This window comes from Homo sapiens, chromosome 3, assembly GCF_000001405.40.
Source record: "Homo sapiens chromosome 3, GRCh38.p14 Primary Assembly".
NCBI classification, from domain to species: Eukaryota; Metazoa; Chordata; class Mammalia; order Primates; family Hominidae; genus Homo; species Homo sapiens.
In genome coordinates, this window is record NC_000003.12 from 71,530,337 (window position 1) to 71,558,074 (window position 27,738).

At 39.6% G+C, this 27,738-nt stretch overlaps 1 protein-coding gene and 1 non-coding gene across 11 annotated transcripts in view; both read right to left on the minus strand.

Moving 5' to 3' along the window:
• FOXP1 (forkhead box P1) overlaps positions 1-27,738 on the minus strand; it is a 629,271-nt gene that overhangs the window by 575,629 nt on the left and 25,904 nt on the right. The window contains exon 1 of one of the 10 annotated variants that reach the window (NM_001244816.2): positions 13,088-13,221. The exons of the other annotated variants lie outside the window; for them this stretch is intronic. The gene's annotated coding sequence lies outside the window, so the exon portion shown is untranslated. Of the gene's footprint in view, positions 1-13,087; positions 13,222-27,738 lie in introns of those variants that run through there. 10 annotated transcript variants of the gene reach the window in all.
• MIR1284 (microRNA 1284) lies at positions 11,634-11,753 on the minus strand. The gene has a single exon (NR_031697.1). It is a non-coding gene; the product is annotated as a microRNA 1284 (primary transcript).

Here is a 27,738-nt window from a genome sequence, read left to right on the forward strand (position 1 = left end):
CCGCCACGTGATAACCCAAAAGGCCCTCGACAGGTGCAGCCCCTCAATCTTGAACTTCCCAGCCTCCAGAACTGAAATAACTAATAATAATAAATTTCTTTCCTTTATTAATGATCCAGTCTGTGGATTCTGTTATAGCAACACAAAGTGGACCAAGACAGTTGGTGTGAAAGAAACCCCCTACACATTGTGGTGACCGTAAGTGTTCTGTATGGAGAGTATAGCAGGAGGAAGGAGTTTTTCTATTGTTCACTCCCTATCTGAAGGGGAACTGACATATCAGAGGTAATCTCAAAGGTCATTTCTCACAAAATCAGTAATTATGTTGCACATACTGTGTTAAGCCCTTTCTAAGCACTGTCTCATTTAACGTTCATGACAACAAGGTAGGTGTGATTGTTCCAGTTTTACAACCAGAAAACGAAGAGTGGGCAATTTAGCTGAGATGTGCCGTACACTAACAAAATTAGGATTTGAACCCAGGGCCATGTGACTACAGCCTGTATGGAGGGGTCAATGAAAACCTGAAGAAAACTACCCCCCAACCCCATCCAGGAATGGCGAAGGAAAAAGACTGAGCTAATTTGTACTAACTTTCCCATTCTGCCCCCAAATGGGCCCCCACCATGGAAATGGAAGTAGATCATAATTTTATAAATCAAGATTCTTCCTACAGCACCATCTAAATAGCACAGCTATTAATAAAACTTGTTTCTCACTTCCTTATGTTTAAATCTGCGTTCAGGTGTGAATAAAACCTTTGTTCCTTATTTCCACTATCTCCACCTCTGAGGAGGGACGCACATAAATAAATATAATTTCTTCCGGGCCCAGGGCTCAGTGCAATGCTCAGGCAAAGTAGGAGATATCGGTTCAAATCCGGGCTTAGGATTCAATCCCTGGACCCTGATGAGATGGGATTTACAAAGGTAACGCTGCCCAAGGTCACTCAGAAGGGGCCTGCCATTTCCACTAGCACAGGCAGCTGCCCGGCAGCAGCTCACAGCAAGAAGCCACTCAGCTATCGGCCTGGCTCCAGTTACAGCTGTAAACTACTGCTATTCTACGGGAAGAAACTGGGGCCCTCAACAGGAAAAGACCTCAGAGCACTATATTGCCAGTCCACCCTGGTTTAAATAGAGGAGCTCTACTTGAGGAACAAATTGGACAAAAAAAAAGAAGGAAGGAAACAAACAAATAAGTGAGGAAACAAAGAAAGCACACTGCCTTGTTAGGAGTAAGAAGAAAATACACAACAGCCAATGTTCTCATGACCATCTTTTTTTTGTTTTGCTTCCCTGACTGCACAGTTATCTCCAGTGTGATCATTTAGGAGAGGAATGATTTATCATTTCTGACTAGGTAAAGGTAACCATCTTCAAGCCAAAGATGTTTGGGATGGGCCAACAAGTTGAAACCTACATGGAAAAGGCTTAACTGGGAACGTTTGTGTGTTCAGGTAGACAGATCCTTCAACTACAGCGTTCTAGACCCAAGATTTTGTATCTTCCTACCTTACTATGTAGGTAAGTGGAGGACGCATGAAATTTATAGCCCAACTATATGTGTTGTGTACCCCACCATTTCAGAATACTCTGAAAAAACCGAATGTCATTTATGCGACTTCCACATGCTCAATTCTACAATTCCTTTTACTTATTTCAATGAAATCTCAAGTCCTACAGGCTTCCATTGACTTAATAGGCAGTCTTCTTTTTTATCTCTCTTGCAAAAGTTCCTCCATCACCTGGCACAGCAAAGAAAAAAAATTCTTTTGTTTTGAGACAGGGTCTCACTGTGTTGCCCAGACTGGTGTGCAGTGGCGTGATCTTGGCTAACTGCAACCTCCACCTCCTGGGCTCAAGCAATCCTCCCGCCTCAGCCTCCTGAGTAGCTGGAACTACAGATGTGTGCCACCACACCCAAATTTTTGTATTTTTTGTAGAGACGGGGTTTTGCCGTATTGCCCAGGCTGGTCTCCAACTCCTGAGCTCAAGCGATCTGCCTACTTCGGCCTCCCAAAGTGCTGAGATTACAGGCATGAGCCACCACGGCCGGCACAAAGAAACTATTAATGAAGTTACTCAAACACCCAAAAGTGGATGGTCCCACAAACCAAATACACTCCCTGGATGGCTGTCATCTTACCTTCAGTGTTTTACCCAAAACTGTTGGCAAGACAGGTCCTAGTGGAATGATTTTTTAAAAAAATTAATTTGGTGTCAGTGTGAGTTTCCTTAAGGTAGGAAATTTTTAAAATAACTTATTAAAACTCACAGTGTTGGCAAGATCTCCTCCCAATCCATGCCCAACTGTGCAGACAGGAGATGAAGACAAGGTGGGGCCTCCCTCTTTTTTTTCTTTTTTTACTAAATTTGGCAGGAAAAGCAAAGGGAAGCTGCTTCTTCCAGTTCCCCACCTGCCCCGCCCTTCTGTTCCACAGAGAACAGAAAGTGCCGTAAGCAACAACTAAGTTTACACTGGCCACTCCAACCACATATCTAGCAATAACTTCATAATTTGTTTTTAAGCATACATTTTCAGGAGGCGAGGCGGGGGACAGGATCTACTGAGGTATACACACTTCATCCTTGAAGGAAATAAACATGAGTCATATTCAAACATTCCAAATCAAAGCATAGGACCCTGGTTGATACATCTTGCTCCTGCAATCAGAAAGAAAGAGTTTAGAATCTACCAGAAGGTAAAGTTACCATACAAGTTTTAACAAATACTTCTGCAGCGGCCAGTGAGAACTCAACTGCTACAAAAATATTTTTGACTTTCTTAATATGAAATAAAAATACCACATAACTCCAACATTTCACAACTGTTAATTAGGCAAGATGCATTATCATGGTATGTACAGTTGAGCCTTGAACAACCTGGGTTGGAAGTGCACAGGCCCACTTATGAGAGGATTTTCTTCCACCCCTGCCAGCCCTGCACAAGCAAGACCAACCCCTCCCTTTCCTCCACCTTCTCAGCCTACTCAATGTAAAGAACGATGATGAGTCATTTCCACTTAATGAAGAGTAAATATATTTTGTCTTCCTTATGATATTCTTAATAACATTTCATTTCCTCTAGCTTACTTTATTGTCAGAATACAGCAATATATTATATATGGAACATACAAAATATGTGTTAATTGACTGTTTATGTTACCAGGAAAGCTTCTGTTCTACAGTAAGCTCTGGTAGTTATGTTTTGGGGAATCATAAGTTACACCCAGATTTTCGACTGTGTGGAAAATTGGCGTCCCCAACCCCATTATTGTTCTGTGAACAATTTCAAATCCTTCCCCTCACTCTTTAATTCTGCAGAATTATTTTTCGGGTGTTTTAAAGGGGGCAATAGCAAAGATTGGGATGACATGCAAAACATCCTCCAGACAAATTTTAGTCTCCATCTTATTCTTTTGTTGAATGAATAATTAAAGTCTTCAGCCATTATGATGCAATCCTCCAGAGAGCTACAAGAAATACAAGGAAAAATAACAGAACTCAACATTTCTTTGGAATCCACCTTCCTCAAAAATGGGTTTAAGGTGATTGTAACCCAAAATGAATACAGAAAAAGCCCTAAGCCTTGGTGTCACGGGAAGCCCAATTGTTCAAAAAAGAGAAGGAGCATAATCACAGTTGTCCGTCTGTATATTGGGGGACTGGTTCAGAACCCGTAAGTAGACCAAAATCCGTGCATACTCAAGTCCTGCAGTCAGCCCTGCAAAACCCTCAAAGGCAGCTGTGCGCGGTGGCAAACGCCTGTAATCTCAGCAATTTGGGAGGCCAAGGCAGGCGGATGACCTGAGGTCAGGAGTTCGAGACCAGCCTGGCCAACACAGTGAAACCCTGTCTCTACTAAAAATACAAAATTAGCCAGGTGTGGTGGCGTACGCCTGTAATCCCAGCTACTCAGGAGGCCAAGGCAGGAGAATCGCTTGGACCTGGGGGGGTGGAGGTTGCAGTGAGTGGAGATCACGCCATTGCACTCCAGCCTAGGCAAAAACTCTGTCAAAAACAACAACAACAACAACAACAAAAAACCCTAAGGCTCTCCCTATACACTGGTTTCCCATTCACCAACACTGAGTTTTCACTCTGCATGTGGTCGAAAAAAAATCCACGTATGAGTAGACACCCCCAGTTCAAAGGTCAACTCCACTTCTCACTAGAATTAAAAAGCTTTACTCCAAATGTAGTTAAAACAGCCCAATATCTTCCTCTTATAAGCAGTAATTAAACTTTAGTGTGGATAAGATTCATCTGGTTTGCTTACTTGAAAATGCAGATCTTTGGCTCAACCTCTAGAAGATGGGACAGAGCCAGAGTGGGGTTGGATGGGGTTGAGAAATCTGCATTTCAACAGTAGTCCACAGGTGACTCTATGCAGACCCTGGAAAACACTCTATTTAAGGGCTCACCACAGCCAGGGACCATATTCCAACTGTCACTTTTCTAGGTCTCATTCTCATTATTTGTTCCAAGACTCTCTCTTATTTTTGCAAATTTAATTTAAAAGTATGAGCATTTCCTGAATGTAACCAGCCACTCTAAGCCAGAGCTGACCTATGAGGGACACATACGTGGCCAAGGCTAGACCAACCAGAACCTCTATATTCTTCACACTGAACTTGAAATTGGGAGTGTGATCTAGTGAAATCACAATGTACTCAAGCTTAACTAGCACAAAGACATGTACCAATGCTTGGAGAAGGAGCAGGGAAGGGAAGAGCATTTAGTAATAGTGCAAATGATGAGCAAATGCCCGGGAGCAAAAGGAGCTGAAAATCCTGTGTTCCTTTAGTGGGTCTTTGATCCCACATGCCCCACAAACCAGGTGCATCTGGCCCTGCTTACTGGTGACTTCCAAGGCTCTGAAAGGATATTTTAACCATAAGCAATTTTCATCTCATATGCTAACTTCAGAACCTGACCTTCAGGTAAGATGTTATTTCACTGGAGGAGAACTTAATAGGTCCACTCAGAATTCATGGCAAGCAGGTCATGGCCTGAGAAGCAGAGGGGCGAGTCTGCTGAGAGCCAGTGGCAAAGCAGAGATATGCAGCGAGAAACAGGGATGAGGCCAGGCACAGTGGCTCATGCCTGGAATCCTAGCACTTTGGGAGGCCAAGGCAGGTGGATCACTTGAGGCCAGGAGTTCGAGACCAGCCTGAGCAATATGACAAAAACCCATCTCTAACAACAACAACAACAACAACAACAAAAACACAAAATGTTAGCTTGGACGTGGTGGCGTGCACCTGTGGTCCCAGCTACTTGGGAGGCTGAGGTAGGATCTTTGAGCCTGGGAGGTGAAGGCTGCAGTAAGCTGCAGTCGCACCACTACACTCCAGACTGGGTGACAGAGGGAGACTCTGTCTCAAAAGAAGAGAAAGAAACAGGGATGAGAAATTAGAGAACTCTGTTCAGGCTCCTGGTGATTCCCATTCCTGGTTCTGCCCCACTCTGAGATATGGCGGCATCCCAGAGTCCTAAAGATATCCCAAGATCCTTCTAATACACACAACGCCTCCCCGTGCCCTCCACCCTGGCTTGCCTGTTAGCTACCTACAACACCAAGGCTCCTAACAAGAACACTAAGTATTCAGACAGAATAATATGACAGAATTCTGAAAGCCTTAGAGATCAAGGGTGACCCTTGGGGGCAGTCCTGAGAGGCCATTTGCAGACTAACAGTTGCCTTGAGGTAGTCTGCAGGGAGGGAGAGCAAAATAAAGCACAGTCAAAACACAACGAGACACAAGAAGAGTGACACAGAGAGAAGGTGCCTCATGTCCTGAAGGATTCCAGTTTTCAATTTCACCATGGGTTCCATGATCCCACTCTAAATCATCCCTAAAAATTCCCTCTGTTACTTATAACCAAAGACACCCTACAAGGAGTACTTTTTAAATATTTTAGGCCAAAGAAGAAGTTTCTGAACTCTCAATAATTTACTTGTGACCCACGAATTGCAGAACAATGCAATTCGCTTACCCTACGCATCCCCTACCCAAATGCTCAGAGGGTCTATGTCTTCACCTCCACACCCCAGTCACCCTAGTCAGCAACTGGCAGGATCATTTTTGCACAGAATCGGAATTTTAGCACTTCACACAGTCCAAACTACTAGGAATGGAGACTGTACTAAAGTCGAAGGACTCTTAACCACATTATGAGTCATAAATAAAGAGCTTGCATTTATCACTTAAACACTTCTAAACCATGTCTCTTTTTTTTTTTTTTTTTTGGTAGTTGTTGCTCTGTCTTGGAAAAGCAGCACAGATAACACAGCTTTCAGAATAAAATCCTCGCATATAAAGGGCAAAAATGTATGGGTGTTTGAGCAATGAACTGGATCCTAGCAGAGGCATTACAAAGGACTCTGTGGGAAAGGTTCCATAGTATCCACAGTCCCACTGAACACATTCTCAATGTGCCATGATGCAAATCCAACATGATGATCGTTTGGTGTGGGTTCTCCCACCCCCACAGAGTGTGGTGGGAGAAGACACCCTCTATATAGTGTCCCATTTTCCCCAGTGGCAACACATGTGCAGAATAGCAGCGATGACGGCCACGCAGAGATGTAGAAGTGACTTAACACCCCTGCTGACTCTGCCTCCTGCCCACCTGAGCCATGGAGGGAAGGTCTGCCAACTGTCCCAGGATGTCAGGTGGACGTGGGAAAGGCGAGTAGAAGACTGAGGCCAAGCGAGCCAGCGATCCCTAAATAAAAGGTGCCACTGGGGTTTTAACTTCCTTTAAGGTCCTAACCAAGGCCTGGGTACTAAATGAAACAAAGAGGCTCTAAAAAACTTGTCACTGCAGACGGTTGAAATGATGCACAGCCAATCTGCCTCCCGAAAGACAGATGATCAAGGCAGAGCCCAGCAGCCAGCAAGGCGAACTCAGTTCCAGCTGGATTTAGGGTCAAAAGGTGGCCGAGGCATTGCCTTCCCAGAAGGAGTGAGTCACGAGGAAAGACTGAAAGCGAGGCAAGGTGGTGGATTTGTTTTTCCCCCAGCTCAGTGTGGGTATTGGCTCAGCAGTATGGAAAAGTGTACTAGAAGGGAGTGAAGGAAGTGTGCATTCCAGAATGAATGGAAGATGCAGGATAATGAATGGCACCAGGCAGGCGCAGAGGCCAAGTCGGAGAAGCATGCAGTGACCTGCACAGCTAGAAGGGGCTGGGCTGCCTTGACTGACCCAGATGGGTCAGACAGAAAGACGGTGTTTTTTTGGCACAGGTTCTGGAACTCAACAGAGTCAAGGACCAGCCCTGGCAGCCAATATCTGGGTGACTTGCCTCAGCCTCTGGAATTCTCAACTGCTTCATCTTTGAAATAGGGACAAGAATAATACCTCCTCTAATGAAGCTGCTAACATGTATTTAAAGCTTTTTGTAGCAACAGCACAGAGGTTGGCAAACTACTAGCCTGTAGGCCAAATCTTTCTGACCACCTGCTTTTTACAGGCCATGAGCTGAGAGTGATTTTTACATTTTTATATGGTTGAAGAAGACAATGAAAATACTATTTGGTGACACATGAACACGATGTGAAATTGAAATTTCGGTATTCATAAATAAAGTTTTATTGGAACACAACCACACCCAGTCACTTACAGATTGTCTATGGCTGCTTTTGCACTACAATGGCAAAACTAAGAGAGCTGAGAGACTGTATGGCCTGCAAAGCCTAATGGATTTACTATCTGGCCCTTTACAGAAATTTGCTGACCCCTGCATTAGCCAAAAGAGAGCACAATCAGCAGTGCCTCATTCTACAAGTAAAGAAATGCAGACAGATCGTGAAATCTTTTTATTAAGATACAATTCACATGCCATAAAATTCACCCTTTTAAACAATAGAACTGAATGGATTTTAGTATATTCAACGGTTGTGAAACCATCACCACAATATAAGTTAGAAGATCACCACCCCCAAAAGAGATCCTATACCCATTAGCAGTCTCTCCCCATTCCTCTCTCTCCAGCTCCCTGCAACTACAAATCTACTTTGTGTCTTAATGGATTTGCCAGTTCTGGATCTTTCTTATAAATGGAATTGAATATGCGGTCCCTTGGTGTCTGGCTTCTTTTAGTTAGCACAATGTTTGCAAAGTTCATCAATGGTGCAGCAGGAGTACTTCATTCCTTTTTGTGGCTGAAAAACACTGCATTGCAAACATTCATCACATTTTGTTGATCCACCAGTTGATAGACATCTGAGTTGTCTCCACTCTTTGGCTATTATAAATCATTCTCCTATGAACATTTATGTACAAGCTTTTCTGTAGATAGACAATTTCATTCCTCTTGGGTTCATATGCAGGAGTAGAAATGCTAGGTCCCAGTTTATCTATTTGTTCTTTGTTGCGTGTGGTTTGGTTTCACATCTAAGAAACCACTGCCTTATCCATGGTCATGAAGAAGATTTATTCCTATAATTTCTTCTAAGAGTTTTCTATATTTAGGTCTTAATACTTTCGGGTCTTCGATGTGTATGTTGTAAAGTAGAGGTCCAACTACATTCTTTTGCACGTGAATATACTGTTTTTCTCAGCATCATCTGTTAAGAAGACTATTCTTTCTCCACTGAATTGGCTTGGCACCCTTGTTGACAATCAGCTGACCATAAATGTAAGGGTTTATTTCTTGACTCTCAATTCTATTCCATTGATCTGTATCTCCATACTTATTCTCGTACCATACTTTCTTGATTATTGTAGCTTTGTTTTAGGTTTTTTTATTTTTTATTTTTTTGTTTTTATTTTTTTTTTGTTTGAGATGGGGTCTCGCTCTGTCGCCCAGGCTGGGGTGCAGTGGCGCAATCTTGGCTCACTGCAAGCTCCGCCTCCCGGGTTCACGCCATTCTCCTGCCTCAGCCTCCCTAGTAGCTGGGACTACAGGCACCTGCCACCATGCCCAGCTAATTTTTTTTTTTTTTTTTGTATGTTAGTAGAGATGGGGTTTCACCGTGTTAGCCAGGATGGTCTCGATCTCCTGACCTCGTGATCCACCTGCCTCAGCCTTCCAAAGTGCTGGGATTACAGGCGTGAGCCGCCGCGCTCGGTCATCTCTGTTCTTTTTCAAGTGTTTTGGCTATTCTGGCTTCCTGGCATTTCCATATGACTTTTAGCATCAATCTATCGATTTCTGCCAAAAAAAAAAAAATACCTGGGATTTTGGTAGGGACTGCAATTAAATCTGTAGATCAACATGGAGAGTGCCACCTTGATAACAATAAGTCTTCCAGTCTATGAACATATGATATCTTTCCATTTACTTAGGTCTTTAACTTCTTTCAAGAATATTTTGTAGTTTTCAGTGTATGAGTTTTATACTTCTTTTATTATATCTATTCCTAAGTATTTTTGATGCTATTGTAAATACAATAGCTTGAAATCTTTTTTATTAGCATAAATTTTAAGTTGGAATTGTAGAAAGTCAATCAGTAGATGTACAAGAAACAAGGACCAAAGCCTAACAGAAATCGAAGGTAAAACTAAAGCTGGATTTCAGGGAGATACTATATGTCAAGATTCATGTCAGGCTTTTTAAGCTTCATGAGAGCACAAATAGTGTCTGTCTTGCTTATCCTGCACACCTAGCACATAGTAGACATCTAAATAAACACCTGTTGAATGAACAAAGTTTATCAGTAGCAGAAAACACTTAAAATCTGTATTTTCTAATCTAGGCAATAAATATGCCCTTAAATATTCATTTCTTCAAGCCCTAGGTTGGTCTTAATGGTGTGCATTGAAGATATTACTGACGATAATGAGGCAAAATATTCTCAAGCATGACACAAGTTTGGTGAGGGCCCCTGCCAGGTGACAAATCCCCTTTAGTCTTTCCCAGCTAGAAAGTTCAAGACAATGTCACTAGACAAGGAAGAGAATAAGAGTAAGCAGGAGAGGAAGCACCTGAGCTTTTTGCAAACAGCACTGGTCCGCCAGACAATGATGTAAACAACGTCTAATGACACCCAAAGGTAAAACAAGAAATGCTGCAGAAGGTGCTAGAAAAGAAAGAGTGAAGGGGGGACAAGAAGGGTGAGAAACACAAACCAATCTACAGGAGAAAAATGTTGAAACTCAAGGCTAAATATGGCATTTATCACTACTTTCCTTTGTTGTCAAGGGTAACAGATAATCAATTAAAATAATAAACTTTCGTTAAGGACAAGAATACTGTATGTGCTGCAGGGGCACCATGCTAAGTGTCTCATGTACATAATCTCATTAACTTCTTGGGACAACCTTAAGGCAAGTATTATTATCATCACGATTCTAGAGCAGGGACAACAGAGACCTGGAGATGTCAGGGTAATTCACCTAAGGCCTCGCTTCTCCAAACTGCCACCGTTGGCATTTAAACCCAGGTCTCCTGACTCCAAATGTGTGCACTATGCTGAATATGTATGAATACAGACATACACGCATATTGTGTACACTTACAAGTGTAGCAAATATCCAGTGCCCTAATATGGTGGTGAATATGTTTAGTTACTAATGTGAATCCAAACACCAATGAAAGATTAGAAGGAAACAAGGTTTTTAGGACCACAAGTTAAAGAGGTAGGAGAACATTAACAAAAAGGTTACAAATATCTTGCCATTAAAACCCCACAAACCATGAAGCCTGAGATTCCATTGTTTCCTGCAGCCACTGAGGCAATGCTGGCTTTGAGTCCTGAATCTGTCTCAACCGTGGTATGTAACTTTGGACAAGTCCCTTCTTTTAGCAAACTGCACTGCCCTAATTTATAAGGCCATTGCCAAGTCTAGGATTCTACCAATTCATGCTTTTTCCAAGCTTTCAATTATTAGGTAATCAACTTTCATCGCACACCTATTTACACCTTTACCAAACTCACTGGTCAATTATAATTCTCAGTCCCTGTTAAAAGAGAAGAATAATATTTGGGCATATGTAGACATACCCTAGAAGAGAAAAGCATTTTTTAATGAAAATAAAAAAAGAAGGGTATGGGAGTTGGGTGGAGAGATTTACTCTGATAAAGTACATCTTGAGCCCTTTCTTTCCTGGCTGGTCCATATTTCTAAATCATTTCCTTGCTTTCACATAGTAAATTTTCTGCTAGATGTCTAGATATGCTGGAGATCAGGTTACAGTGTGAAGGACAAAAGATAAAAACAATCTGCATACTTCCATCTGGCTCTTCAGAACAAAGTCTAGAGACTTGAAATGTGAGGAGAGAAGCATGCTACTCTAGCTGCACAACAGATACAGCAAAATGTCACAGAAACAAATCTTTCAAGAGAATCCGAGATGCTGGAATGCGTATTTCACCAGAATTTACTCCGAGAGCATTAAAAAAAAAAAGTTAAGGCTCAGATACTGAACACAATGTTGCCTCTGTTACAAGAAGATGAAAAGTTGAAACAGACCAATGCATTAGAAAGTCCATACTGTACTGCAGAGATGCTATTCTTATTGCTGTCAAAAGACTCCTGGTTTTAAAACAAACAAAAAAACACCTTCTAGATTATTTATTCAGACGGTCTTGCCTAGTTTTTAGGACTCAAAAGTCAACACTCGAGGTTTGACTCTGGTCAAACTACTCCTTTGCCACATGGCATCACGCCGCGCGAGACAGATTTTCAGTATGAAAGAAACCAGCAGTTTCCAATACAAACATGGGCTTTCCAATATATAAAATTTAAGAAAAGCCAGGGTCTGTATAGAAAACATTAAACTGGCTTATATATCAAAATCATGAGGTTTAAGCAGAAATGCAGCATTAAAATAATTTACAAAATGGCTCAACAATGAACATTTTCCTCTGTGAAAAAAACAACACCCTTAATGTTTTTCATATGGCACATAAATTTTACAATACCTGCAGGAATATTTTCATTGGTTAAACCAACACCATAGGTCTTTTTAGCTCTTAAGCATATTACGATTCTTGCCTTTTTATGGCATTTTTGTTGTTGTTTGCACCCAATGTAATAAGCTTTTGAGAACAAGAAACAAACCACAATAAAAAGAAAAAAGAACTACCCCTTTGTAACTGCAACTTTCACAAGAGGGGTGGGGGAGCAGAGCGATCGAAATCTCGTTTTTATAGCTGCTATCTTGATGCAATTAGTGTAAAATAATTGTCTGCACAGGCCAAAGTAGAGGCTAAGTTGAGGCACTTGAGTGCATTCCCGAAAATGATTTCCCTGCCTCTTCCTTCAGCCTGCTGCAGCAGATGTTGGCTGTTAAGCCGCACAGACGACACAGTTCATGACTTTTCTAAGACGGCTGTGTGCCACATCTGCAGTTGATGAAATGGAGAGCAGAAGTGTGGCAGACACACAGAGGAGAGTGTGAGCGAGGCAGGCAGGCGCAGGCTGGGCCAAAGGAACTGTCTTGAAGGCTGGCCTAAAAATAGACACATACTCACACTCCTCCCTCCGCAGCCAGCTCATAAAACCCGGCCTGCCTGTCCTATTATGGAGTCAGCCTATGGCAGACACTTCCTGCATCCAGCTTGGGCTGCAGATAACACAAAAGCATGGAGGCAAGAGTGGAGGGGAGCAGGCGGTGTAGCATCCTCAAACTGCAGCTTCGCTCTCCGAGCCTCGGTATAACTGGGCTGTGGTCCAAGTTCAGCTGGGCCCCCAGAGAAAGGCAATGCTTGTGTTTAGCCCGCACAATACTGACATAACATTAACAGATTTACATATGCAAAACTGTGAAGCAACAGGCATTCCCCCTCAATTGACCCACAGCTTGTAGTGTCTGCCGAGTTATTCCCCGCTTCGGCTCTGTAACCAAGTGGGCGGCATGCGAATACCATCTGGGTACCACTTATTGAAAACTGGCAGTCGCTCTGTAATAGGCAAGCTGGCAATAAGAGGGAAGGGAATAAATTGCATCATTTAGTTAACATCCACTTGCTTTGCGGCTGTTAAAAAACCATGACTGAATAATAATTTGGTTATTTCTTTTGCCAGAAACTGCTGTCAGCCAAATTGTACTACGCACGCTGCAGAAGTCGACTTGCAAAATTTCCACTTGAGAAGGGACTGAGGAGGATTGGGGCAAAATGGGCACCAACCTCTGGCTGTTAGCAGTGGCGACTCCTGCTGCACAGTGGCTCTGTGTCCTCCAAGTGTCATCATCCCAAATGTAGTTGACACCAAGCCCTGGTTAGCCACCTGGCCATGCTGAGCCCCAGCACCAAGCTGTGATGTGTGGTAACACCCTCAAGCAGCTCAGATCCAAGGGTGTATGTGACAAGTGGCATCTACGTGACTCTCAGCTAGCCGTGGAGGCACATGTGGCCAAGCAAAGCTTGAGCTGACATCCCCCAGTTTCTGCCTCAAAACAGAGTGGGGAAGCAGGTCCACAGAAAGCCTGAGAGCTGCAGGCCTATATCCCTCTACTTCTGTGCCTGGAGCAGGCAGACTGAATCATTTCTTTCTGGTTTACTCACCTGCTTTCAAATACAACTAACAAAGAAAGTGACAGAAACCTTAGACCACCACATAAAGGTAGAAGTGATCTTCATTCAGTAAAACCCATGTGTTTGAAGTGGTTCTCTTTTGAATATATTTGTAAAGATATGAAATTCTCTTATTTACTATATGCTGTGCCTGTGTGTGTTTACACACTATATATACACATATACACACATGTATGTGTGTATACACACATATACACACATATACACACATATATGTGTGTATACACATACATATACACACATATATGTGTGTATTTCTATTACTTTCCTTTACTATGTCTTTTAGGAAAATCAGAGCCGAATACATACAAGTGACCAATGCCGTAGCAGTATTAAAAAGATATAAGTACTTAAAAGATATAAATAAAAATATATAAATCCTTCTATAAAGGTTAGAAATATTTTATGATATAAATCCAGTTATAAAATATGTATTTATTTCTTTTAATAATTTATATCATCTATAAACTGCTATAGCATTGGTCAATTACATATATTTCCACTTTGACTTTTTAAAAAGATGTATCAAAGGAAAGTAAAGAAATGGAAAAAAAAAAAAAGGAAAATTTGGAACAAAAAAAAGGAAAAAGCAGGAAAGACTAGACAGACTCTGCTGATCGTGGAAGTACTACAAGTGAACAAAGTTTGATCAAATTCAAAGAAAAAAGGAAGATGAGAACATTTGCAGTGACACCAATGGCAAAAACATACGTTTCCAAAATCCAAACCTGAAGCACTTGGGAAGGAATGGCTAAACAATCTTTCAAAGCCCAAGACATTTAAAGACCACTCCATTTTATATGTGGGGTGGTCTTTCTGAAAAATAACACAGTTGGCTGGTCATGCATTAAAATAAGCAGAATATGATCACAAAGAGGTAAGAGAGACAAAGGAGACAAGACCAAATCGTCATGTATTTTACAAATCACAACTGTTGTAAGTTACCATATGATTAAGTGAAACTTGGATAATAGTTCTTTTCCAGGCAATGAGGGTAGTCAAGAAAGATAATAGGGCTTTTTTTTTCCAGATTCAGCTTATGATTGTAATCTCACCTTGCTCTAAACAGCTTAGAAGGCAAAGAAAAGACAAAGTCAATTCTGTATCTAGAGACATAAAAAAATGTTAAGACTGTAAAGCAATACGCTGAATTTGCTTCTTGAAAGGATGAGAAAGAAAATGATATTTCCAAGTCACCACGCTTGCAGTCTGTTAAAAGGAAGCAAAATAGCGATTTTAACCAGGACCATGGGTGGTAAAACAATTTTTTTTTTATTAAAAATAACCATTTTATTTACACATGTACATGCGCGCATATGCTCCCTGAAAAAAATCAGCATGCTGTCATGGAAATACCACTGGTCTGAGGGAGAGAAGGACTGGTTTTCACCAAAGCTCAGCCACTTTCTAGTTGAGTAAGTGACCTTGGGTAAGTCACAGTTTGTCTGGGCCTAATTTTCTTTTCTTTGGGAAATAGTGATATGTAACAAAGCAGTGTTAGAATTTCCCAAATCTGAGAGAAATAATGGTTTTCCTAATAGCTCTTTATTGCACATTTATCATTCCAAAATGTAAATCCATCCTATGAAAATAAATGAATCAGAGTTACACAAGATTTCAAAATTACTCTCATTTTACTTTGCAAATTACACTTAGGGTAAATATTGATGGGGTTTTGTTTGTTTTTAAAAATACACATGCTGAAGGACTGAACTGCCTTATGCAAATATTTATCTTCTAGAACATTATATGCTCCTTAATGTTTGTTTAAAATCCTAAAAGTTTTCAGTAACTGCAAGATTTCTATTTAATATGCAATTCCATAATAAATAGCTATAATATAAATTTAACCTATATATATCGTTTTCGCAATAGGTAGGAACCAAAAGTAAAAGTCTGAAGAACCTACAACCCAAATATGATGTAAGCCAGCTTAAGATTTTGGAAAATATTACATTCCTAGAAAACAGATTTTTAAGCTATTGCCATGTCCCTTTTGTTGCTGCATATTTAAAAGTAATCACACTCTCCCTGGTTTTCACTGTTTTATTCATCTTAAGCTCCTCTACCAGTGAACCATGGGCACAGGTTTCCAGAAATCACTTTAAATGTTGCATATATCCTGGCAAAAGTCCAAAATTCTAGCCAACATCAGTATTTTCGAGTTAACCTTAATCAACTCTATTGCCTTTCAAAAGTGGAGACAATGCACTTGACCCTTGTTCCATGGAGTATGTGTGTGTGGCTTTTCCCCAGGAGGGGTCATGGATTTGCATTAATCCATACAACACCTTCCCCCACCCACCTCCCCACACTCCAACATCCAACTGCAGACATTCACAAGCCAGCTGGCGAGGGTTAGTGGTCGGTGGCCAGGTAAGAGAGTGAAGGTAACTGGTCCACAAGAGGCAGGAATTCCCACTTTGGCCTCATTAGCAGCAGGGCCAAGCAGCCAAGGCTAAAGTTAACATTCACGAAATACACCTGGCTAATCTTGTAAAGAATAAAGATTTGCTCATTAACTGAGCTTAGAGAAAGGTGTGACCCACAAAACCGAAGAGCTATTTTCAGGTCCTTAATGGTCCAAATTTCGTGATCAAGTTACAAATTCCATGTGGTTCTTCATAAGGTCCCTTTAAGAAACTTTTCGATGATGGAACAGTGGAGCCTCTGGCCATGTCATTCATATACACACAGAGATGCACAAACACCTACCCACCACTTCTATGATGCAGGGTTGAATAAAGCTTAATGGAAGTTAACCTTCTAGCCTGGGTGCAAGATACCCAACCACCGAGATGCTGTTCATCAGGTACCCCAATGCAGCGAAGCACACCTCCAAAGCCTTGCTGAATGGCACTAGCACCAGTGCCACTCCTTGCTCATTTCTAAGAGGCTCCTGGACAGTGAAGTCAGGGAGCTGCCTAGCCTCTGCAGCCCACTCTAAACGGACGATGATTTGCTGATGGTGATTTCTCCTGCAAGGACTACCCAGAGCCACTAATGGAGGCAAGCGCTGGCTTGTTGCTTGAGCTTTCATCTGAAAATAAAACTGAAGGGTCAATTTTCATCATGAGCTTGAGAAAAGAAGGAAATTGCAAAGAAAGGAAGGGGAGAGAGACAGAGACACAGAGAGGAAGAGAGAAAGGAAGGAAGGCAATTGCTTGCTACGAAGACAAAACAAATTGTGAAATCTAGAAATAAATACTCAGGGCTGAATTCTAACACAACTGTCACTGCTGTCAGTTTTAGGAAATAAAACTCTTATGAAATACAAAAAGGTTCAAGGGGGAATTCAATCTATCTGAGTTTTACATAAACTAAAAATTACAGGTTTCTGAAACAGTTGGGATTAGCATTCTTCTTAGGTAGTTTAGGAAAGGTTACCCTTTCCTCCCCTTCATTTTAACACTGTGAGGGGTCTGCCTGCCTACCAAAATGCAACCAGTGCAGCCCCAACCACCAGATCAAGGAACAAACAGTGCAGGACTAGACAGCAGGTTTGTGGAAACCCAGCAAGAACGCTCTTCTTTGAGGAAAGGAGGGCTTGGCAGGTAAACAACCATATCAGGCCTTATCCAAAAAGAAGGTAGAGGTGGGGCCTCTAGGGCGAGGCCCAGATGGTCTCCACGGATTGCTGTGCTCCTTTGGGCCCCGTTTGACCTCTTTTTAAAGGGCTCTGAATACCACTAGGGAACCAATGTCACCCAGCAAGGGCCACTCAGAGCCACACTTAAGGGGCAATGCATGTATTTTCTTCCTTCTATGACATTAGAAGGCAACTTGCTGTTCTTGGGGCCCAAGGCAGAGAAGAATGTGAACACACAAAGTTCTTGTAGAGAATTAGTCCTGGCACAATTACCTAATGGCCTCTTCAACCAAACACCTGGTTGGCTACTTATCAGTAGCAACCCTATAAGCAACCCATTCCAGCAAGGTCCAGAGAGAAGAGAGGACAGCTGTGACTATTCAATCCTTTGGTGGTCATCATCACCTCCCATATTTATGAGGCCTTTTGGCCACAATGGTCTGAGCTCTTGTTGTGTACATCTTTATTAGTTGGAAGAAAAGGTCTAAGGTTTCTTTCCCAACTCAGAGAAGTCCTCTTAAACCAAACTGACTTAGCCAGCCCCAGGTCAGTACAAACAGTCAATTTCATAAGAGGACAAAGGGCTTTGGAAAAGAAGTGAACAGAGAGAGAGGATGAGGCAATCTGCAGTTCCTCTTTGGCTGGGGCCTCTCAATGGGGCCTCATTCTTTGTCTCAAAGATAGACAGGAATTCCAGCATGGACAACACCCCCAAGTTTAAATATACCTTTGAAAATGTGGGTGACTGGCAGATTATTGTAAACCACTGATCATCACCATTAATGTGGGTGTTTTAAAAAGTTGGCCCTATGAATGGAGGTTGAATGCAAGATCCAGCTCTAGTTTAAAACTAAACACACACATACACAAATACACACACACACAAATAGCGTAAGTTTATATGTTGGTTATTTTTCTCCCAAACAGCCTCATAACAGTCTAGCATAATTCAACGTATTTCCTGTCCCCCTTCCTCAACTGTTTTTGTTTTTGTTTTTATTTTAAGACAGGGTCTTGTACCGTCACCCAGGCTGGAGTGCAGTGGCACTCTCACGGCTTGATGCAACCTCAACCGTCAGGACTCAAGCAATCCTCCTGCCTCAGCCTCCCAAGTACTATAGGTGTGAGCCACCACACCCAGCTAATTGTTGTATTTTTGGTAGAGATGGGGTTTCACCATGTTGCCCAGGCTGGTCTCAAACTCCTGAGCTCAGACACTCCTCCTGCCTTGGCCTTCCAAGGTGCTGAGATTACAGGTGTGAGTCACCGCACACAACCCCATTTCTTTTTTATTTATTCCTTCCTCTCTATTCCCCAGCCCCCTGAAACCAGACTTGGCCTTTACCCCCCCAAAAGAAATGAGATGAAGTCAAAATAAAAAGACAAAGCTAATACTAATAAGAATCACTAATATTTCATCAGCATGTGCTATGTAAAAAGTAGTCAGCATTTTGTTTATACTGTATTGACTCATTTAGTCAAAGCAGGACCATGATGAGGTAAATATTGCCATTTTACAGATTTAGGAACTAAGGCGGTGTGTTTAAATAACATATCCAAGGTTAATAAGAGGCAGAGCTGGGATTCAAACTCAGGAACGTTAACCACTGCACAACACTGCCTCAAAGGTGTATTAACCCAAAGAAGTTAATTGTTGACTTCTGAGCTGCTAAGGGCCCACCAGTTGGTTATATATTGGGTTTTCAAGGTTAATATTAACTTAATGAGACTTATGCACTGACTCTATATATGATGCAACTCAACTCTTAGCAACATACTGAGCATACACCACTTAGAACTAACACAACCGAAAGAATGATAAATTAAATAACCTTCTCCCCTACCTAGTGTTTCTTTCATGGCAACAGTTCAGTCGCTGGGGTTTTCCCTCATCTCTAACTTCTCTACTGAGTAAAGGCACATGTTTTTAGACTCCAAAATACATATACTTTATTATTTAAAAAAATTTTTTGAGATGGAGTCACACTCTGTTGCCCAGGCTGGAATACAGTGGCACAATCTCGGCTCACTGCAACCTCCACCTCCCAGGTTCAAGCGATTCTCCTGCCTCAGCCTCCCAGGCAGCTGGGATCACAGGCATACACCATCACACCTGGATAATTTTTGTGTTTTTAGTAGAGATGGGATTTCACCATGTTGCACAGGCTGGTCTTGAACTTCTGGCCTCAGGCGATCCACCCACCTAGGCCTCCCAAAGTACTGGGATTACAGGCATGAGCCACCACACCTAGCCCAAAACATATATATTTTAATAAAACATATCTCAAATATTTCAGTTCACAGGTTAGATATAATGGGAACAAAACTGTCTCAATTTCAACTGTAACATCAAATCATCACATGAACTGAGACTTGCTGAAAGCCCTTGAGGATGGAAGAAATGGTAAATTATATTACAGAATACTCTAATGCTGGGAGTAAAAAAAAAAAAAAAAAAAAAAAAAACGCTCTCTGGTAAACTTTTAATTTTTTTAGGCCTCTTTATATTTAGAACATGCCTTTCTAAAATTTGAAGCTAAGCATATGTCAAAAAATTTTTTTTCAAAGAACCTTATTTTTAAAACTATAACTACAAATGTCAGACAAGTTCATTGTATAAAAGTACTGCAAACAGTATAGCATAAATAAATCAAAAGCAAGTGTGTGCCCCACTCACCCTCCCGCCTCCAGCCCTAACACAGTTTATTCTTCAGAAGTAGCCACATCATTGGAGTTGGCGATGGTACAAAGCGGGGAGAGGAGGAAGCCTGTGGAGACTTAGCTCTCTCATCTCCATGATCCCCACCTGCCCCCAAGTAAAACGATTATAAATCACATAGCAAAGCTGGTTGAGAGCACAAACCCTTCAACAAAACCACGTAGGTCTCAATCCTACCTATTCCACTTATCCGCTGTTGACCGTGAGCTAATATGTTATATAACCGCTCCGTGCCTCAGTTTCCACATCTGCAAAATGAGGATAACAGGAGTTCTTATCTCACTGAGGCCTGGTGACAGATAAATTACACAAACTAATATTTATAAAAACAATTAAAATCATACTGCCACAGAAGTTTTATTTAGTTATCTATTGAATATATTTTTAAACTAAATTAACATCCAGTGAATAGAAAGCAAAGCCATGGAAGCATGTGCTGAAAGTGACCAATTTAACTTGTAAAGAAAAGAAAACTACTGGAAAAAGAAGAAAATAGATTATGTTTCAATAAACCCATAAGGATACCACTTATGTGAACAAAGCCTCCATTTTTATTAATTCAACTTGGTTTGTGGTTCAAACCCTTAAGATCAGTCCATTAGACACCAGCTCATATATTCGGGTAAAAAAAGAGAATTTCTTTAGCTATTTACATTTATCATATTTATACCACTCCGCAGCATACAGCTGAGGTAAAAAGCAGCAGGCTTGCCATGCCATTGCCGCTTCCGAGAGGCCCCCTTCAAACAGAAGGCACTCTCTGCGGCTCCTCCTCAGACACGATGAAGCCGCCATTGTTGCCAGGGTTTCCTTCCAGACTTCACGGAGTTGGGTTTCACTTAGGAGACAAATTATATAACTAGAGACACAAAAATTCATGCTCACTTCAATAATATTACCAGGAAACACTGAGAAAACTGGTTTTTATCTAATATTTATGCACTTCTGAATGAGATTCTGAGGCAAATAATGCCTGGAATGGATAGCTTTAGTGTTGAGTTTGGTGTTCGTGTTCTGGCTTAAATGTTCAAAGGGGTAAATACAAATTTTTCCAAAGGAAACAATTCCTACAGCATAAAACTATCAAGGTTCCATCCACAAAAACATTCTATAAAATGTCAAGACATTTATAAAAGTGTGCTATAAAACAAAATGACATAAATTACAGGATATTTCTACTTGTTGATTCTGAACACAACAATATTTAACTATCTTTTCCCCAAAATACTCCAGGGATTACTCAAACGCAAGGGTAAGGCATAGAAAACTACTTTTCTGTTTGGTGAATGGCATTTCCTTGGTCAAAAGAAAACCTTAGAAGCATACCAAAAACCAAAGTAATAAATGTGGCAATGGCCTGGACAGACAGATTACAAAGATGATAGCCATGATTCACATGCATAACGTTTCCTGGTTCCTCAAGTTATAGTTTATGTTCAATACATAAACTTCTGGCATATGAAACAAACATTCTATCTTTAGTTATTTGTTTAAATGGAACTTTGCATTTCTATTCAAAAACCAATTTTAACTGTTTTGAATAGATAACATAAAAATAGAGACAGGATCATTGCCACATAGGTGGGAGTGGTTATAACTGTGATACAACAAAACTGCCTCAGATATAAAACATTTGAATCTTTTGATCTCTACCATCTATGATCGGGCTTCTAGTATAATTCACATGGAAAGAATTTAAAGGATGGAATATACTATTAAAGCAAATTCCCTTAAGTTTTTCATATTATTTAATTTCATCAAATGCATCAATCACCTCTAAACCATTCCCTCCAGGAAGTGTTGAAATACTCAGCATTTAGTGCCTTTATTTTATCCTAATTTTCTGCAACAATATTCAACCAAGCATGCCATTCATCCTTTACTAAGTGCCTGTCTTTGTGCAAAGATTCCACAAAGACACACAGATAACAAAACAAAATCCACCTTCAACAGAATTAAGTCTAGCTTGAAAGAGAACTGTATAAAGAACTAACTGCTACCAGTATTACTGAACATTATTCTGTAAGGCAGAACCAATGCAATAAAGCAGGAGAAAGAAATATGGGAAAAGGTGCTGATATTGCTACCTATCAGATGTCAAATTTCTTAGTTTTTGGAAATATAACAAAAACACAGCCCTAATGAAATTTCAAAAAGATAATCAAATATAAAATGTACAAAAAACAGAACTATGTACATATTAAAAATAACCAGTAAGAAAATATAAATATTTCTTTATTTTCTAGGTTCAGACACATAACTACAAAATTTTCATGAGAAATAAAAAGGAATACTTGAATAAATAATTATATTAGTTTCCTGGATGAGCAGATGTAATACAGAAAAGATAAATTTTTCTGAGGTAATTAAATATTTAGTATTACAATCAAAATAAAAAAGGAAATTATTTTTAACAAAAAATTCCAAAGGTCATTTAGAAAAACTAAAAAATAAAAGCAAATAAAAAGTTTTAAAGTCAAATAGGGACTATGAAATATTTGATATTAAACATATTATAAAGTACAATAATTCAGACAGTATGGAACTGGCAAAGAACTAGGCAAAATATAATAATAATATTGATGGTATTATAATGACAGCAAGTATTTGCGTAGTTACTTAAATGCCAGGTGCTTTGTATTTACAGTTACCAAATAATTTATCATCCTAAGATAGACTATTAGATTCTTTTGAAATTGGTATTTGAACACCAACAATAATATAAGCAGAATAATCTTCTTAGTACATACACCTGTACTTCAATCAGTTTCTTGGCTGTACTTGTCTCTTACCACATCACCAGTAAGTTTCTAGAAGAATGTCAGGAAAAATGTCAGTCTTTATTATTTTTATTATTTTCATAAAATTGCCTACAGTATCCTTCAAAGTTGTATTTTATAGTTAATAAATACAATTTATTTAATTATACCTTCAAATGTCAGTATTTCTGGCCCATAATATTAACTGAGAAAATATTCGTTCCACAGGTACTAGAGTTACCTGTTAGCATACCAAATTTCCCTAAATTGAGGATATTCTCAATTCTACTATGTGGTATTGAAGTCCCTAAATATAACAGCCCAAATATTTTATAGGTCATCATTTAAACTCTATTCTGAATATCTTTGACAAATATTTTTACAAGATGAAATTCATCAAATAAATAAACTTGCTTTATAATTGCTTGAAATGTTTGGCCAAATTTGGATGCTGCAAAATTGTAGGCCTCATCAATTTCATTTCTATACGGAATTCACATTATCTGATTTAAAATAGGAGTTCCATCAAAAGCTTCTTCCCACTGGTGAGAGGCTTCCAAATACAGTTACAGAATTTCAGAATTAAAAAATGTTCACTTTTTGAGCTCACATTTAACTTGTTCGGTTCTTCACTGGTTTTTTCAGGGATAAAAATGGTAATATTGTCCTGTTTGCAATCTTTTTTTTACCAACAACTGAAATTTGCTAACAGTCTCAAAAGAAATTGTGTACATATGTATGTTCATTCTTTGAGTTATTAAAATTTCCAACAGAGTCTGAACAACATGTAACTACAATTTAGAGTGCACATTTACAAAAGTTTAATAACATCAATGGAACACTTACACTGATTTACAAAATAGTTTCTCAAAGTCTCAAACATTTCTAAAACCTAACTGATAGCTCAAGTACTTATTTGTATTCAACATTAGTCTCAAAACAGAAACTTTGTAGTTTGGTTATCTACGTATATATAAAATTATTTATAAATGTTGGTAGTTAGCTACAGTTTCTATTCAAGTGATATATATTGCAGTTTGGATGCAATTATAAAATATATGGTCACTATAATCACTTCCAAGTATGGTACATATTTGCTCCATGGGTTTCTGAATCTAGTAAAACCAGTTTTTACCACAATATGTTCTCCACCAAAATTCAAATTTAGGCTGGATACAGCGGCTCACACCTATAATCCCAACCTTTTGGGAGTCTCAGACAGGAAGATTACTTGAGACCAAGAGTTCAAAATCAACCTGGGTAACATAGCAAGACCCTGTCTCCACAAAAAGTTTTAAAAAAGAAATTAGGCAGGCATGGTGGTGCACACTTGTGGTCCCAGCTACTCGGAAATCTGAGGCAAGAGGATAGCTTGAGACCACGAGTCAAGGCTGCAGTGAGCTATGATCATAACACTACATTCCAGCCTGGGTGACAGAGGGGGACTCTGTCTCTTTAACAAATTTTTTTAAAAATTAAAAATTCAAATGTGTTTAATCACCACAAAATCAAATAACTTTATGTTCAATGTTAAACTTTTTAATGGAATTCATAATTATTTCAAATAATGTTAGATGCTTTACCTTCAACAGAATGAAATTCTGTTGACTTAATTTGTTGTTTGATTCCGTGTACTGGATGGAAAAAATCAAACTATTATTGGTATTACCTTAACTGAGTTTCTATTTGAAACATCCAATGGTATTAATGTGAAGCTGGCACCATTTATTGTCTATAAAGAAGTTCTGTAAACAGTGCAATACATTAAAAGTTATCAATCCTCTTTTTGAATGTGTTTTAAAAATGTTAGAATCCAACGTAAGTGAAATTAATTTAGAAAAATTCAATCTAAATGAAAAGTCATGCTTCACAGGATAAAATGTAAACACATTTTCTTTCACTTTGTGTGGACACAGTCTCCTGAAAATATGTACTAATTCTGAAACAGATGCAGTACCTTCTTTAGCAAATGGGTCCCCTGATTTGTATATGCTTGGTGATTTCATTATGTCCCCAAGAGTAGATAGTAAATGTCAAAAATATTTTATAGAAGTTAATGTTTATGGTCAACTTCCTTGAAAAATAGGGGGAAATTATGTAATATTTCAGTAAACAAGCTCAGTTATTTTTAAGCTCATAGCTGCCAAAATGGTTTCTTACAATGTATATATTTTTTAAACTTTACCAAATGATAAAAATAAATATTTGTGAGTTTACAGTATTCAAAAATGACAAAACCATAAAACCTACTTTATTAAGAACACTCAGACTGCTTCTTTACACTCTGCAGCGGGACTTCTCAGCCTTTATTTCAGATAAATTTCATGAAAACTAACCTAAAGTTTCCTATCCGTCCCCAACCCTACTGACCAAATTGAATTACTGGTCCCTAGCCACTTACACCAGAGCACACATTCCCTGAAACAGAGGTGTTCATAATGGTGTGCACAGAAAGGGTTAGGAGAAAAGGGATTGCTGGTCATCTTTCACAGAGCACCATATAAGCATCTCACACACTACAAGAGAAGACCATGAAGAAATAGGAACTGCACATAGTCTCCTTGTAATAATACTTTAGCATAAAATGAAAAATCTGAGACAATGCTAACCCAGGAGTCACTGTCCCAGATAAACTGACATAAATAGTCACTTCTTTATATAATTATCTCATTTACTGCCCATGGCACCCCCATTAGATGGTTCTACTATAATCCACATTTTCATGTAAGAAAATGTTGCCTTTAGATGTTTACAGTGGGTGGAACGTGTTCCAGGGTCCATGCATATAATCAACACTTAATATTGCTTCTCAGTGAAACCGAAAAAAGTGCATGGAAATAAGCCCTACATTAAAATTTAGCGTATACTACAGCTTTTAAAATCCATTATAGAGAAGTATTATTTAATAATTCTAGAACTGCGATTTTTTAATAATCAAATCAAACTCTTACCTCATACCATACACTGAAATACAATTAAGATAGAGTTAAATACTAAAAAAGGAAAAAGAAAAAAGAGGAGGAAGAGAAAGAAGAGGAGGAGGAAGAGAAGGAAGAAAAGGAAAAAAAATTAAACAATTATAAGAAAATAAATGGGATGGGTAGAAAAATCTGTCTTACAGAATGTTATAAGGCATAAATGAAAGGAAGGAAAACATAAAAATTGGGGTAATTTTCCGCAAACACACTATATATGTAATATGTATTAAAGTCTATAACGTAAAAAGACTTCTAATAAATCAAACATCACATATAAAAACCCTGTATATAATACAAATAGGTAAATCACAAAAGCACTGCAAATGGCCAGAAACCAAAGGGTGTGAAAAGGACAATTTCATTAGTTATTAAAGAAAGCACATTTCCAGAATTCTATACCATCTTTCACCTTGAAAACTGTCAAAAATAAAAAGCTCACGCCTGTAATCCCAGCACTTTGGGAGGCCGACGTGAGCAGATCACGAGGTCAGGAGATCGAGACCATCCTGGCTAACATGGTGAAACTCTGTCTCTACTAAAAACACAAAAAATTAGCCGGGCGTGGTGGCAGGTGCCTGTAGTTCCAGCTACTCGGGAGGCTGAGGCAGGAGAATCGCTTGAACTCGGGAGGTGGAGGTTGCAGTGAGCCGAGATTGTGCCACTGCACTCCAGGCTGGGCGACAGAGCGAGACTCCGTCTCAAAAAAAAAAAAAAAAAAAAAAAAAAATCTAGAAAGGTTAGTTTACTCAATGTTGGCCAAACTGCAATGAAGTGGAAACTGCCATAGTCTTTTTTTTTTTTAAGGTTTTATTGTAACTCTTCTTACTAGCATTCCCCAAACCATAACAAATAGGTGACATAGTCAAGAGAATATCAATGTTCACCACCCTTTGACCTAGTAAATTCACTTACAAAATTTATCCTAAGAAAATCATCAGAGATGCTAATAAATGTATGTACTACAATGTTCACTGCAATATTATTTATTTCAGCAAAAGACTGGAAACAATGTAAACATCCAACAGAAAGAGAAAGATTAAAATCATGGTCCACTGTAGATTGACTGGAAGTGCAGCAATCTTTAAAAATCATGCTTACAGAGAATATTCAATGACTAAAAAAAAAGTGTTCATGATATAATGTTAAGTGAAAATGAGCAGGAAACAAAACTGTTTAAGATCATTTGTAGGGGTTTGTTCATAAAAACATTTTAAATTAGATTGAAATACACAAAAATGTCAATAGCTGTTTTCTTATGGCAGAGAGACATACTAGGAATTTTACAGCATCAAAATTCTAAAAGTTGGGTATATCATACAGGTATCTTTCTGAACTGGGAAATGACTAGCTTGCTACACGGATGAGAGAAGAAAAATATTGAAATGAGTAAGATATATGTTTGGATGAAAATGATTAAATGTTGGCATTATCTCCATATTATCTTCCACAGCTCAAATGGTCAATTTATATCTTTCTCTGAAAAAAAAATCCTGCTTATTTAAAAAAAGTAAAAAAAAAAAAAAAATCCATTGTGTACCCCAGCTATGGCACACAGCACAAAATACTGACCACCCTGAGAAAATGTCCTCCAAAACTCCTTCACCTCATGGTGGTCAACCCAAGCCAAGAACTACGAAAAAGAAAAGGTGCCCTTCTGTGTGTCTGCTTCTGCAGTGAGACACAAGAGGAAGGCAGCTCTGAGGCCTGGCAGTCACATTCAACTGTCTGTCCCACCTTCACGGAAGAGTGAGGTGAGGTAATAGAAAGACTGCCAGTCCTGCCTCCGACTTTCTGCTCTTCAAGTACTTTATTCAAACGATGAAAGGGAAGAATGACCAAGATGCTGCATTCTACCTTACATGCCACATTAGGAGAGAATGGCTTTGCCCATGCTTCCCCACCCACAGGGCCTCCCTGCAAACCTGTATTTTTTATTTTTGTTTGTTTATTTATTTTTTGAAACTGAGTCTGACTCTGTTGCCCAGGCTGGAGTACAGTGGTGTGGTCTCAGCTCACTGCAACCTCTGCCTCCCAGGTTCACGTGATTCTCCTGCCTCAGCCTCCTAAGTAGCTGGAATTATAGGCATGAGCCACCACATCTGGCTGATTTTTGTATTTTTAGTAGAGACGGGGTTTCACTATGTCGGCCGGGCTGGTGACCCGCCCACCTAGGCCTCCCAAAGTGCTGGGATTACAGG